Below are 14,384 nucleotides of genomic sequence, written 5' to 3' on the forward strand. Positions count from 1 at the left end.
GATTGTGAAGATTTTCTCCCACTCTGTGGGTTGTCCGTTTACTCTGCTGACTATTCCTTTTGCCATGCAAAAGCTCTTTGGTTTAATTAGGTCCCAGCTATTTATCTTTGTTTTTATTGCATTTGCTTTTGGGTTCTTGGTCATGAACTCCTTGCCTAAGCCAATGTCTAGAAGGGTTTTTCCAATGTTATCTTCTAGAATTTTTATAGTTTCAGGACTTAGGTTTAATTCTTTAATCCATCTTGAGTTGATTTCTGTATAAGGTGAGAGATGAGGATCCAATGTCATTCTCCTACATGTGGCTAGCCAATTATCCCAGCACCATTTGTTGAAAAGGGTGTCCTTTCCCCACTTTTGTTTTTGTTTGCTTTGTTGAAAATCAATTGGCTGTAAGTATTTGGGTTTATTTCTGGGTTCTCTCTTATGTTACATTGGTCTATGTGCCTATTTTTATACCAGTACCATACTGTTTTGGTGACTATGCCCTTATGGTATAGTTTGCAATCAGGTAGTGTGATGCCTCCACATTTGTTCATTTTGCTTAGTCTTTCTTTGGCTATGCGGGCTTTTTTGGTCCTATTTGAATTTTAGAATTTTTTTTTTAACTCTGTGAAGAATGACGGTGGTATTTTGATGGGAGTTGCATTGAATTTGTCGATTGCTTTTGGCAGTACAGTCATTTTCACAACATTGATTCTACCCATCCATGAGCATGGGTTGTGTTTCCATTTGTTTGTGTCATCTATGATTTCTTTCAGCAGTGTTTTGTAGTTTTCCTTGTAGAGGTCTTTCGTCTCCTTGGTTAGGCACGTTACTATGTGTTTTATTTTCATTTTTTGCAGCTATTGTAAAAGGGGCTGAGTTCTTGATTTGATTCTCTGCTTGGTTGTTGTTGGTGTCTAGAAGAACTACTGATTTGTGTACATTGATCTTGTATCCAGAAACTTTGCTGAATTCTTTTATCAGTTCCAGGAGCTTTCTGGAGGAGTCCTTAGGGTTTTCAAAGTAAATGATCGTATCATCAGCAAACAGGGACAGCTTCACTTCCTCTTTACCAATTTGGATGCCCTTTATTTATTTTTCTTGTCTGATTGCTCTGGATAGGACTTCCAGTACTATGTCAAAGAGGAGTGGTGAGAGTGGGCATCCTCGTCTTGCTCCATTTCTCAGAGGGAATATTTCAGCTTTTCTCCATCAGTATTATGTTGGCTGTGGGGTTGTCATAGATGGCTTTGATTATCTTGAGGTATGTCCCTTGTATGCCGATTTTGCTGACAGTTTTAATCATAAAGGAATGCTGGATTTTGTTGAATGCTTTTTCTGCATCTATTCAGATGATCATGTGATTTTTATTTTTAATTCTGTTTATGTGGTGTATCACATTTATTTACTTGCATCCTGCATCCCTGGTATGAAACCCACTTGGTCAAGGTGGATTATCTTTTTGATATGTTGTTGGATTTGGTTAGCTAGTATTTCGTTAAGGATTTTAGCATCTATATTCATCAAGGATATTGGTCTGTAGTTTTCATTTTCTGGTTCTGTCCTTTCCTGGTTTAGGTATTAGGGTGATGCTGGCTTCATAGAAGGAGTTGGAAGGGGGGTTCTTTCTTTCTCTAACTTGTGGAATAGTGTCAAAAGGATTGGTACCAATTCTTTTGAATGTCTGGTAGAATTCTGCTGTGAATCTGTCTGGTCCTGGACTTTTTTGTTGTTGGTAATTTTTAAATTATCATTTCAATCTTGCTGCTCCTTATTGGTCTGTTAAGGTATCTGATTCTTCCTGATTTAAACTAGAAGCATTGTATTTTTCCAGGAATTTATCCATTTCTTCTAGGTTTTCTAGTTTATGTGCATGAAGGGGTTTATAGCAGCCTTGAATAATGTTTTGTATTTCAGTGGTGTCAGTTGTAATATCTTCTGTTTCATTCCTTAGTGAGGTTATTTGGATTTTCTCTCTTCTTTTCTTGATTAATCTTGCTATGAATCTATCCATTTTATTTATCTTTTCAAAGAACCAGTTTTTGTTTCATTTATCGTTTGTATTTTTTTTTTGTTTCAATTTCATTTAGTTCTGCTCTGATCTGGGTTATTTCCTCTCCTCTGCTGGGCTTGGGTTTGGTTTGTTCTTGTTTCTCTAGTTCCTTGAGGTGTTACCTTAGAATTGTCTGTTTGTGCTCTTTCAGACTTTTTGATGTAGGTGTTTAGGACTATAAACTTTCCTCTTATCACCACTTTTGCTATATCCCAGAAGTTTTGATAGGTTGTGTCATTATTGTCATTCAGCTTGAAGAATTTTTAAATTTCCATCTTGATTTAGTGTTTGACCCAATGCTCATTCAAGTGCAGGGTATTTAATTTCCATGTATTTGCATGGCTTCGAAGGTTCCTTTTGGAGTTGATTTCCAGTTTTATTGGAGTTGGTCTGAGAGAATGCTTGATATAATTTCAATTTTCTTAAATTTATTGAGGCTTGTTTTATGGCCTACCATATGGTCTATCTTGGAGAAAGTTTCATGTGCTGCTGTATAGAATATGTATTCTGCAGTTGTTGGATGAAATGTTCTGTATATATCTGTTAAGTCAATTTGTTCCAAGGTATAGTTTAAGTCCATTGTTTCTTTGTTGACTTTCTCTCTTGATTACCTGTCTAGTGCTATCAATGGAGTATTGAAGTCCTCCACTATTATTGTGTTGCTGTCTATCTCATTTCTTAGGTCTATTAGTAATTGTTTTATAAATTTAGGAGCTCCAGTGTTAGGTGCATATATGTTTAGGATTGTGATATTTTTCCTGTTTGACAGGGCCTTTTATCACTATCTAATGTCTCTGTCTCTTTTAACTACTGTTGCTTTTTTTTTTTTTTTAAGATGGAGTCTCGCTCTGCAGCCTAGGCTGGAGTGAGTGGCATGATCTTGGCTCACTGCAAGCTCCACCTCCCGGGTTCATGCCATTCTCCCCCCTCAGCCTCCCAAGTAGCTGGGACTACAGGCGCCCGCCACCATGCCTGGCTAATTTTGTTTTTGTACTTTTAGTAGAGATGGGGTTTCACTGTGTTAGCCAGGATGGTCTTGATCTCCTGACCTCGTGATCCACCTGCCTTGGCCTCCCAAAGTATTGGGATTACAGGCGTGAGCCCAGCGCCTGGCCAACTACTGTTGCTTTAAAGTTTGTTTTGTCTGATATAAGAATAGCTACTTCTGCTTGCTTTTGGTGTCCGTTTGCATGCCTGCTCACTTTTGGTGTCCATTTACATGAAATGCCTTTTCCCACCCCTTTACGTTAAGTTTATGTGAGTCCTTACGTGTTAGGTAAGTCCCCTGAAGGCAGCAGATTGTTGATTAGTGAGTTCTTATCCATTCTGCAGTTCTGTATCTTTTAAGTGGAGCATTTAGGCTATTTACGTTCAATGTTAGTATTGAAATGTGAGGTATCATTGCATTCACTGTGCTCTTTGTTGCCTGTGTACTTTGTTTTTTTGTTTTTGTTTTTTTGTTTTTGCTTATTAGTTTGTATTTTTCTTTTATAGGCCTTGTGTGAGTTATGTTTTAAAGAGGTTCTGTTTCAATGTATTTCCAGGATTCATTTCAAGATTTGGACCTCCTTATAGAAGTTCTTGTAGTGGTGTCTTGGTAATGGCAAATTCTCTGAGCATTTGTTTGTCTGAAAATGATTGTATCTTTCCTTCATATATGGTACTTAGTTTTGTTGGATACAAAATTCTTGGCTGATAATTGTTTTTTTTTTTGAGGAGCCTGAAGATAGGTCCCCAATCCCTTCTAGCTTGTAAGGTTTCTGCTGAGAAATCTGCTGTTAATCTGATAGGTTTTCCTTACAGGTTACCTGGTGCTTCTGTCTCACATCTCTTAAGATTCTTTCCTTCATCTTAACTTTGGATAACCTGATGACAATGTGCCTAGGAGAAGATCTTTTTGTGATGAATTTCCCAAGTGTTCTTTGTGCTTCTTGTATTTGGAAGTCTAGGTCTCTATCTAGGCTGGGGAAGTTTTCCCCAATTATTCCCCCAAATATGTTTTCCAAGCTTTTAGAATTGTCTTCTTCAGGAACACCAATTATTCTTAGGTTTGGTAGTTTAACATAATCCCAGACTTCTTGGAGGGTTTGTTCATATTTTCTTATTCTTTTTTCTTTGTCTTTGTTGGACTGGGTTAATTCAAAGACTTTGTCTTTGAGCTCTGAATTTCTTTCTTCTACTCATTCAATTCTATTGCTGAGACTTTCCAGAGCATTTCACATTTCTAAAAGTGTGTCCAAAGTTTCCTGAATTTTTAAATTTTTTAAGCTATCTATTTCATTGACTATTTCTCCCTTTACTTTTTGTATCATTTTTTTGGATTTCCTTGCATTGGGCTTTGCCTTTCTCCGGTGCCTCCCTGATTAGCTTAATAACTAACCTCCTGAATTCTTTTTCAGGTAAATCAGGGATTTCTTCTTGGTTTGGATCCATTGCTGGTGAACTAGTGTGATTTTTTTGGGGTGTTGAAAGGCCTTGTTTTGTTATATTACCAGGGTTGGTAATGTAACAGGTAATATTACAGGGTTGGTACAGTATTCAATGAATTTCATAAGATATTTAACACTGTATTATAAAATAGGCTTTGTGTTGTTGATGATTTTGCTCAACTGTAGCCTAATGTAAGTGTTCTAAGCACTTTTAAAGTAGGCTAGGCTCAGCTATGATGTCTGTAGTTTAGGTGTATGAAATGCATGTTTGACTTATGATATTTTCAACCTGCAATGAGTTTATGACATAACCCCATAATAAGTTGGGGAGCATCTGTATATCCATTAGGTGAAATGTTAATGGGGGACTTCATGAAAGGTACAACAACTGACAACACTGATTAATCTTAACATCATGTAAATAGAAGCAATCAGACATTAGGTGCCTCCTGATAGAACCTCACTTTATCATAAAAGTTGACAGAAATTGAATTTCAATGTGATCAAACCTCTAAATCTACCTAACAGCTTCTAGGAAATACAGGAGATAGAGGAACATACTAAACAACATCTCAGGCATGCACTTGGAAAAATCTAGACTGTGAAAAACTCTGCTGAAATAATTACAGATTATTCCAACAAATAAGTTGTAAGGGAAAACAAAAGAGATGAAAAAGCCTATAGATAAAGAAAAAAATAATAAAAGACAGATTAACCACTGTAATAAGGAAGAGGAGGAGCTTTGAACAGATTGGATACTTGATAATACATTAGGGTTAGTGTATTAGTCTGTTCTCACACTGCTAATAAAGACATACCCAAGACTGGCTAATTTATAAGGAAAGAGGTTTAATTGACTCACAATTACACATGGCTGGGGAGGCCTCACAATCATGGCTGAAGGCGAATGAGGAGCAAAGTCATGTCTTACATGGTGGCAGGCAAAAGAGTTTGTGCAGGGGAACTCCCCTTTATAAAACCATCAGATTTTGTGAGACTTATTCACTATCATGAGAATAGCATGGGAAAAACCTGCCCCCCATGATTCAATTACCTCCCACTGGGTCCCTCCCTTAACATGTGGAAATTACAGGAGCTATAATTCAAGATGAGATTTGAGTGGGGACACAGCCAAACAATATCATTTTGCCCTGGACCCTCCCAAATCTCATGTCCTCACATTTCAAAACCAATCATGCCTTTCCAACAGTTCCTCAAAGACTTAACTCATTTCAGCATTAACTCAAAGTCCATAGTCCAAAGTCTCATCTGAGACTAGGCAAGGCAAGTATCTTCTGCCTATAAGCCTATAAAATCAAAAGTAAGTATTAGTTACTCCCCAGATACAATGGGGGTAAGACACTGGGTAATCCATTCCAAATGGGAGAAATTAGCCAAAGCAAAGGGCTACATGCCCTATGCAAGTCTGAAATCCAATAGGGCAGTCATTAAACCTTCAAGTTCCAAAGTGATCTCCTTTGACTCCATGTCTCACATTCAAGTCACACTGGTGCAAGAGGCAGGCTCCCACAGCCTTGGGTAGCTCTGTCCCTGTGGCTTTGCAGGGTACAGCCTCCCTTCCTGGCTGCTTTCATGGGCTGGCATTGAGTGTCTCTGGGTTTTCCAGGTACACAGTGCAAGCTGTTGGTGAATCTACCATTCTGGGGTCTGGAGGACATTGGCCCTCTTCTCACAGCTCTGCTAGGCACTGCCACAGTGGAGACTCTGTGTAGGGGCTCCAACCCCACATTTCCCTTCCCCACTGCCCTAGTAGAGTTTCTTGATGAGATCCCTGCCCTTGCAGCAAAATTCTGCCTGGACATCCAGGCATTTCCACACATCCTCTAAAATCTAGGTGGAGGGTCCCAAACCTCCATTCTTGACTTCTGTGTACCCACAAGTGTAACACCACATGTAACCCACTAAGGTTTGGGACTTGTACCCTCTGAAGCAATGGACTGAGCTATACTTGGCCCCTTTTAGCCATAGCTGGAGCTGAAACAGCTGGGATGCAGGGCACTATTTTGGAGGCTGCATAAAGCAGGATGGCCCTAAGTCTGGACCATAAAACCATTTTACTCTCCTAGGCCTCCAGGCCTTTGATGGGAGGGGCTGCCATGAAGCTCTCTGACAGGCCCTGGGGACATTTTCCCCACTGTCTTGCTGATTAGCATTTGGCTCCTCATTACTTATGCAAATTTCTGCAGCCAGCTTGAATTTCTTCTCAGAAAATGGGTGTTTTCTTTCCTGTTGCATCATCAGGCTGCAAATTTTTCAAACTTTTATGCTCTGTCACCTCTTGAATGCTTTGCCATTTAGAAATTTCTCCTGCCAGATACCCCAAATCACCTCTCTCAAATTCAAAGTTCCACAGATCTCTATGAAAGGGGCAAAATGCTGCCAGTGTCTTTGCATAGCAAGAGTGAACTTTACTCTAGTTCCCAACAAGTTCCTTATCTCCATCTGAAATCAGCTCAGCCTGAATTTTATTATCAATATCACTATCAGTATTTTGGTCAAAGTCATTCAACAAGTTTCAAACTTTCCCACATCTTCTTGTCTTCTGAGCCCTCCAAGTCTCTAAGAAGCTCCAAATTTTCCCACTTTTTACTATTTTCTTCTAAGCCTTCCAAACTGTTCCAACCTCTGTCTGTTACCCAGTTCCAAAGTCACATCCACATTTTCAGATATCTTTACAGCAGCATCCCACTCTTGGTACCAATTTACTGTATTAGTATGTTCTCAGGCTGATAATAATGGCATACTGAAGACTGGGTAATTTACAAAAGAAAGAAGTTTAATTGGCTCACAGTTCCCCATGGCTGGGGAGGCCTCACAATCATGGCTGAAGTTGAATGAGGAGAAAAGTCATGTCTTACATGGCAGCAGATAAGATAGTATGTGCAGGGGAACTCACTTTGCTAAAACCCTCAGATCTCAGGAAACTTAGTCATTGTCATGAGAACAGCATGGGAAAAACTCACCCCTATGATTCAATGACCTCCCACTGGGTCCCTCCCATGACATGTAGGAATTATGAGAGCTACAATTCAAGATGAGATTTGAGTGGAGACACAACCAAACCATGTCAGCTAGTGTATTTTTTTGACGTAATAATATTATTAATACACTTTTATAAAGAGACTTTTATCTTTCAGAGAGAAATACTGAAATAATAAATGAAATAATATATCTAGAATATGTCTCAAAGCAATCTGGAATGAAGAAATGGGGGCATATGAATGAAACAAGAGCCATCATGATTAATAATTGTTGAAAGTTGAAAATGCATACATAGGATTTTATTATATTATTCCCCCTGCTCTTATATATGTCTGTAATTTTCCTAATAAAAATTTTAAAACCAAACAGAAGAACAGTAGTGGCCATACTGTCTTTCCATGGAATTTCTCCACATCCTGCTTCCCAAGCTTCTCTTTGAACCCTCTTGCTCCTTAGTGCCAATCTTGCTTCCATTTGCTGGTCATGTCCTCTTCCTCCAGGTCCCGCAGGTTGATGACTTAGTTGGACAAGCTGTCTGGTTTTAATTTCCATTTTGCCCTTGAATGCTGTCCCTGTTTTTTTTTTTTTTTCTCCCCAAGAGGCCAGCTTCCAGCTTTATTCCAGGCCTTGCCCCACCCTCAAATACACTAACAGAAGTATCAACCCCATGCTTTCAGAGCCTATGTTCTTTGTCCCAGGTGCTCACTCAACTGGGTTTGGAAATTGTTCATTTTCTTTCCTTTCCTTCCATGTAGCCAATAGAATATGTCTTGGAGGTATGACTTATTTGGGAAGGCAAATAATTTTAAGAAAAGTAAAGAACATAAGGCACTAGGGAAGGCACACATGGTTGGGTAAATTGAAAGTTCCCATCCTACCCCATTCCCAACTCTCTGCCATGCCTTCTATCAAAAGTGAAATATAAAGATTGGAAAAGAGGCATTTTGGCATGGTGCCATCTTTTCCAGAGGGGTTGGCAAGAACTATCCTCAGTTAATATGGGAGGCTTTAAAAAGAGTGTCAGCCCAGGGGAAGATGAATAAATTGTTTGCATGATAGGGTGACTGTATTAGTCCATTTTCATGCTGCTGATAAAGTCATACCCAGGACTGGGAAGAAAATGAGGTTTAATTGAACTTACAGTTCCACGTGGCTGGGGAGACCTCAGGATCATGGCAGGCAGTGAAAGGCACATCTTACATGGTGGCAGCAAGAGAAAATGAGGAAGAAGCAAAAGCAGAAACCCCTGATAAACCCATCAGGTCTCATGAGACTTAGTCACTATCACGAGAATAGCACAGGAAAAACTGGCCCTCATGATTCAGTTACCTCCACCTGGGCCCCTCCCACAACATGTGGGAATTCTGGGAGATAAAATTCAAGTTGAGATCTTGGGGGCGGGGGGTGGGACAAAACCAAATCATACCATTTTGTCCCTTGCCACCCCCAAATCTCACGTCCTCACATATCAAAACCAATCATGCCTTCCCAACAGTCCCCCAAAGTCTTAACTCATTTCAGCATTAACCCAAAAATCTACAGTCCAAAGTCTCATCTGAGACAAGGCAAGTCCCTTCTGCCTAGGAGCCTGTAAAATCAAAAGCAAGTTAGTTACTTCCTAGATACAATGGGGGCACAGGTATTGGGTAGATACAGCCATTCCAAATGGGAGAAATTGGCCAAAACAAAGGGGTTACAGGGTCCATGCAAGTCTGAAATCCAGCAGTGCAGTCGAATTTTAAAGCTCCAAAATGATCTCCTTTGACTCCAGTTCTCACATTCAGGTCTTGCTGATGTAAGAGGTGGGTTCCCATGGTCGTGGCAGCTCTCCCTCTGTGACTTTGCAGGGTACAAAGCCTCCCTCCTGGCTGCTTTCACAGGCTTGTGTTGCATGTCTGCGGCTTTTCCAGGTGCACGGTGCGGTGCAAGTTGTCGGTGGATCTACCATTCTGAGGTCTGGAGAACGGTGGCTTTCTTTCCACAGCTCCAGTAGGCGGTACCACAGTAAGGACCCTGTTTGGGGGCTCCGACCCCACATTTCCCATCTGCACTGCCCTAGCAAAGGTTTTCCACAAGCGCCCCACCCCTGCAGCAAACTTTTGCTTGGGCATCCAGGCATTTCCATACATCTTCTGAAATCTAGGCAGAAATTCCCAAACCTCAGTTTTTGACTTCGGTGCCTCCGCATGCTCAACACCACATGGAAGCTGCCAAGGCTTGGGGCTTCCACCCTCTGAAGCCACAGCCGGAGCTGTACCTTGGTCCCTTTCAGCTACAGTTGGGATGGCTGGGACACAGGGCACCAAGTCCCTAGGCTGCACATAGCATGGGGACCCTGGGCCCGGCCCACACAATCACTTTTTTCTCCTGGGCTTCTGGGCCTGTGATGGGAGGGGCTGCCATGAAGATCTCTGACATAGCCTGGAGACATTTTCCTCATGGTCTTGGGGATTAACATTAGGCTCTTTGCTACTTATGCAAATTTCTGCAGCTGGCTTGAATTTTTCCTAAAAAAAATGTTTTTTTCTTTTCTACTGCATCATCGGGCTGAAAATTTTCTGAACTTTTATGCTCTGTTTCTCTTTTAAAATGTAATGCCTTTAACAGCACCCAAGTCACCTTTTGAATGCTTTGCTGCTTAGAAATTTTTTCTGCCAGATACCCTAAATCATCTCTCTCATCTTCAAAGTTCCACAAATCTCTAAGGTTGGGGCAAAATGCTGCCAATCTCTTTGCTAAAACATAACAAGAGTCACTTTTGCTCCTGTTCCCAACAAGTGCCTCATCTCCATCTGAGACCACCTCAGCCTGGACCTTATTGTTCATATCACTATCGGCATTTTGGGCAAAGCGATTCAACAAGTCTCTAGGAGGTTCCAAAATTTCCCATATTTTCCTGTCTTCTTCTGAGCCCTCCAAACTATTCCAACCTCTGCCTGTCACCCAGCTCCAAAGTTGCTTCCACATCTTCAGGTATATTTTCAGCAATGGCCCACTCTACTGGTACCAATTTACTGTATTAGTCCATTTTCATGCTGCTGATAAAGACATACCCGAGACTGGGAAGAAAAAGAGGTTTAATTGGACTTACAGTTTCACATGTCTGGGGAGGCCTCAGAATCATGATGGGAGGCAAAAGACACTTCTTACTTGGTGGCAGCAAGAGAAAATGAGGAAGAAGCAAAAGCAGAAACCCCTGATAAACCCATCAGATCTCATGAGACTTAGTCACTATCACAAGAAGATTACAGGAAAGACCAGCCCCCATGATTCCATTACCTCCCCCTGGGTCCCTCCCACAACACATGGGAATTCTGGGAGATACAATTTGAGATTTGTGTCGGGACACAGCTAAACCATATCAGTGATCAACCATCCCTGTTTGCCCCGAAGTGAGGCTCATCTCAAGACACTGGATTTCCAGCTAAAAACAGACAAGTACCAGGCAAGCCTGGACAGATTGATCACACAATAGTAAAACCAAGGATATATTTCTTAAAAAGATATCGGTCAAGTCATGTGGGTAGATAATTTCTTTTATCATTGGAGATGAGTCTGTTTACTTTAGGATAAAATTAATAATTCTTGTGATACAGCATGTTTGTTCTGGAGTAATTGCCTAGAGACAGACAAAGCTGGTTGGGAGATGGATATAGATTTAGAACACTCATTCTCTTTTTCCAACTCATAAGACCATCTTCCATGGTTCTCTACTTTAAAACTAACAGAAATCCAGGCAATGAAAATCTCCAATAACACTTTGCTGAAGGCTTATAGTTTGAAATAACAATGTCAATATTAAACTGAAAATATAATTACTGAAAAGAGTTTACAATTCCTTTCCAGTTGCTATTTTTGTTCTTAGAGGGATGTACTGTAAAATTACTGTGCTCCGGAAGTCAATGGAAATAATTCTTTTCTCTGAGTGGTTAAGCACTAACTCTAAACACAATTAGCTTCACTTGCTTCATTTTGCTTTTGATAGTTAGGATTTCTCATTTCAAAAATTTAAGAACTTTAAAAAATTTGATCCTTGCCTAAGAGAATGACAGTGGGGGTTGGGAAACTGTTAGCTTGGCCAGGAGGTAACTTTGACTCCTTTGTTCTTTCACCCTAAAGCTCCACCCTTTAGCATAGAGGTTAATTTTGTGTTTGTAAAATGGATAGCAGATTGTTTTTCCTTTCCATAGAAACAGCATAAGTGGGAAACATTTGAGCTCTTCAAATGGGACTTACGTCTTATCAGGAATACATAAAATATATAGGTTCTGTGGAATGGCTTCAGGAGACTGTCAGGCTGTATCCCACACCATGTCAATGCAATGTGAATTTTTCTAGCTAGAGTGTCCATAACTTTCACCAGATTCCAAAGGAAACTTGAATCCAAAAACAAAGATTGGAACCAATGTCTTAGAATGGTGAAGGACAAAAGGAGAATCAACAGAAGTGCCTTGCACCAAATGACAGAGGAATAAACACTCTTGACACATTTCATTGTATTGATTCTGAGGTCTAGAATTTTTAACATCACAAATTGGAGTGAATCTTGTAACTGATATAATCCTAGATCAGATGAAGTATAGTAATCCTTTGTAGATTTTGTTGACTTTATTTTATAATTCTGCACTTCTTAGTAAGAAAGCCTAGTTGTCACAAATGAGACATCAAAATACTGTCAAAAGAGCTTTGGCTTCGGAGCCAGGGGACTTAGAATTCCTGGCCCTGCCGCTTTTGAGCTGAGTGAGCTTTAGTAAATGATTTCCTCTTTCCAGGCCTTTCTTTCCACATCTACAGACTATGAAGGTGTAATCAGCTGGTGCCTCAGAGTGCCTTTAAGGGCACCTGGGTGGGAAGGGAGTGACAGGTGGGTGAGATTTCATAGCTCCCCCAACCTTCTTCAACCTGGAGCAGTTCTGTGTTACCTGTTTTACAAAGCAGACTTGTTTCTAAGGTTGTTTTTTGTTTTGTTTTGTTTTGTTTTTGAAGAATGATTTCTGTTACTAGGGAAACAGAAAAATTAAAAGACCATCCAACTGGCATTTCCAGTTGTGGGTCTAAAGAGTTTTATGAATGTGTTCCTGGATTTTTGTACCTTCCTTTTAATGATACCAATTGACTTACCGTTTGAGAGATCTACAGTAGAGTGATAAGAAGCACAGATGTTGGGTAAGATAGACCTACCTGGACAGTTATCTTTGCTGTGTGACATTGGGCATATAATTATAACAATGGGAATAATTTTGGTACCTCTTTCAAAAGATTGTTTTGAGACACCAAGAAGATAGTTCATGGAGAAGGTTCATACAATGCCTAACAAATACGGATCCTCAGTGATCACCAACTGGTGGTAGTATTTCTGTCTCTTGGGTCTAAATGAGGGGAAGGATCTTTATTCCTCCTCACCAGAGTATCTACATTGGAATTCAAACCCCCTAATTCCATCACATAGAAAATCTTTCAGATCCTTGGACCCATAATCAACCCTTAAGAGACATTTGCTGCTGCAGATGACCTTAGCATGCTGGAGAGATCATTATGCATATAGCAAACACTTTCAGACAGGCAGGAGACCTAAGATAAAGGCAGAATGAGGTTTAATTTAAGAAATGTTCATTGTGGCCTTAATGAGAGCACACAGGTGTTAAGATGTGGTCTCTGCCATTTAGGAGCTGGCAGACCAACTAGGTACTTAGGTGACCCAGCAGTAAACGATATGCCAGGAGCTCACAGCAGGACTGAGTGACCCCTACTTGCAGGTCTGAGGGTAATTGGAGGAAATGATGTTTAAATCAAACTTTGCGGGAAGAGGAGAATGATCACAGGTGAAACAGTGAAAGGGAGGAGGCCATCTTAGTCAGGGAAAGGCAAAAACCAGGAGTCCCCTACAAAATAACAATAAATAAAATAAAGGAGTGATTAAGCAAAATCATAGTTAACATTGCTTCTTAACTGCTAGGTACTTATAAAACACTTTATACGCATTATTACTTGTAGTTCATGTAGTCCTTAACCAACTCTGCAAGATAAATTTTATTATTATATTATCCCCATTCTACAGATGAGGAAAAGGAAGCACAGAGAATGAAGTATCTTGCCCAAAACCGAACTGGGGCCAGTTTATGGATAGAGAGGAGCACTATGCCTCCCACCAGTCAGGGAAAGAATGCTGGTTCTTCCTAATAGGTTAGAGTTACTTGACTGCAGAAGTATCAACATTTTAGGCTGGATAATTCTTTGTTCTGCAGGGCTATTCTGTGCATTATGGGACTGTTAGCAGCATCACTGGCCTCTACCCACGAGACGCCAGTAACACTTCCTTCCCTGTTTGTGACAAACAAACACGTTTCCAGACATTTCTTAATGTCCCTGGGGTTGGGGGCAGAGTGACCCCAGCTGGGAACCACCATTGCAGGCAGGCTTATGCTAGGCACTGGCTTGTTGCTCTGCATGAGCAGAGCTGAAGCCAGGAGAAATTCTCTCTGCTGTGCACAAAATTGTCTCCAGCAAACTTTCGGCTTTAAAGTTGTTCATTTCAGCAGCTGGGGTCTTGATTTTCCCAAGGTGACTCATACAGATACAGTCTGTGGGAGTCAGTCGGTTATCTGTTCTGACAAGGCCCCTTGTGTGTTTGAAGGAGGTGTGGCCTCCAAACCATCAAAGCATGCCGGGTGCACAATTACATCTCCGCATTGTGCTTGCCAGGGCATGACAATTGGAACACTGTGATCCAAGGCTTGTTTTGTTCTGACCAGCATCAGAAGTTCAGAACGTTAGCTTGAGTAGCAAAATTGATTATATATTCTATTTGCTACAAGCCTACCAGCTAGTGCATCGATTCACCCTTTCATTTTCAGAGTCCACCTCTACAGACAACACTTATGTAACATTCTGAAAGGCGTTTTCCATGGTGATTAAGC

The 14,384-nt window shown here is 40.6% G+C and overlaps 2 long non-coding RNA genes across 4 annotated transcripts in view; one reads left to right on the forward strand and one right to left on the reverse strand.

Annotated features, from left to right (window-relative positions):
• The window catches only part of LINC01182 (long intergenic non-protein coding RNA 1182), a 276,050-nt gene that overhangs the window by 114,956 nt on the left and 146,710 nt on the right, over positions 1 to 14,384 (forward strand). The gene's annotated exons all lie outside the window — the stretch shown is intronic.
• Positions 1 to 14,384, reverse strand: part of LOC101929048 (uncharacterized) — a 74,973-nt gene that overhangs the window by 4,202 nt on the left and 56,387 nt on the right. The window contains exon 5 of one of the 3 annotated variants that reach the window (XR_001741387.2): positions 7,243 to 10,526. The exons of 1 other annotated variant lie outside the window; for it this stretch is intronic. This is a non-coding gene — a long non-coding RNA (uncharacterized LOC101929048). Of the gene's footprint in view, positions 1 to 7,242; positions 10,527 to 10,769; positions 13,350 to 14,384 lie in introns of those variants that run through there. One more of the 3 variants, XR_925418.3, reaches the window with a different exon arrangement.

Source organism: Homo sapiens, chromosome 4 (genome assembly GCF_000001405.40).
Source record: "Homo sapiens chromosome 4, GRCh38.p14 Primary Assembly".
In the NCBI taxonomy this organism is placed as follows: domain Eukaryota; kingdom Metazoa; phylum Chordata; class Mammalia; order Primates; family Hominidae; genus Homo; species Homo sapiens.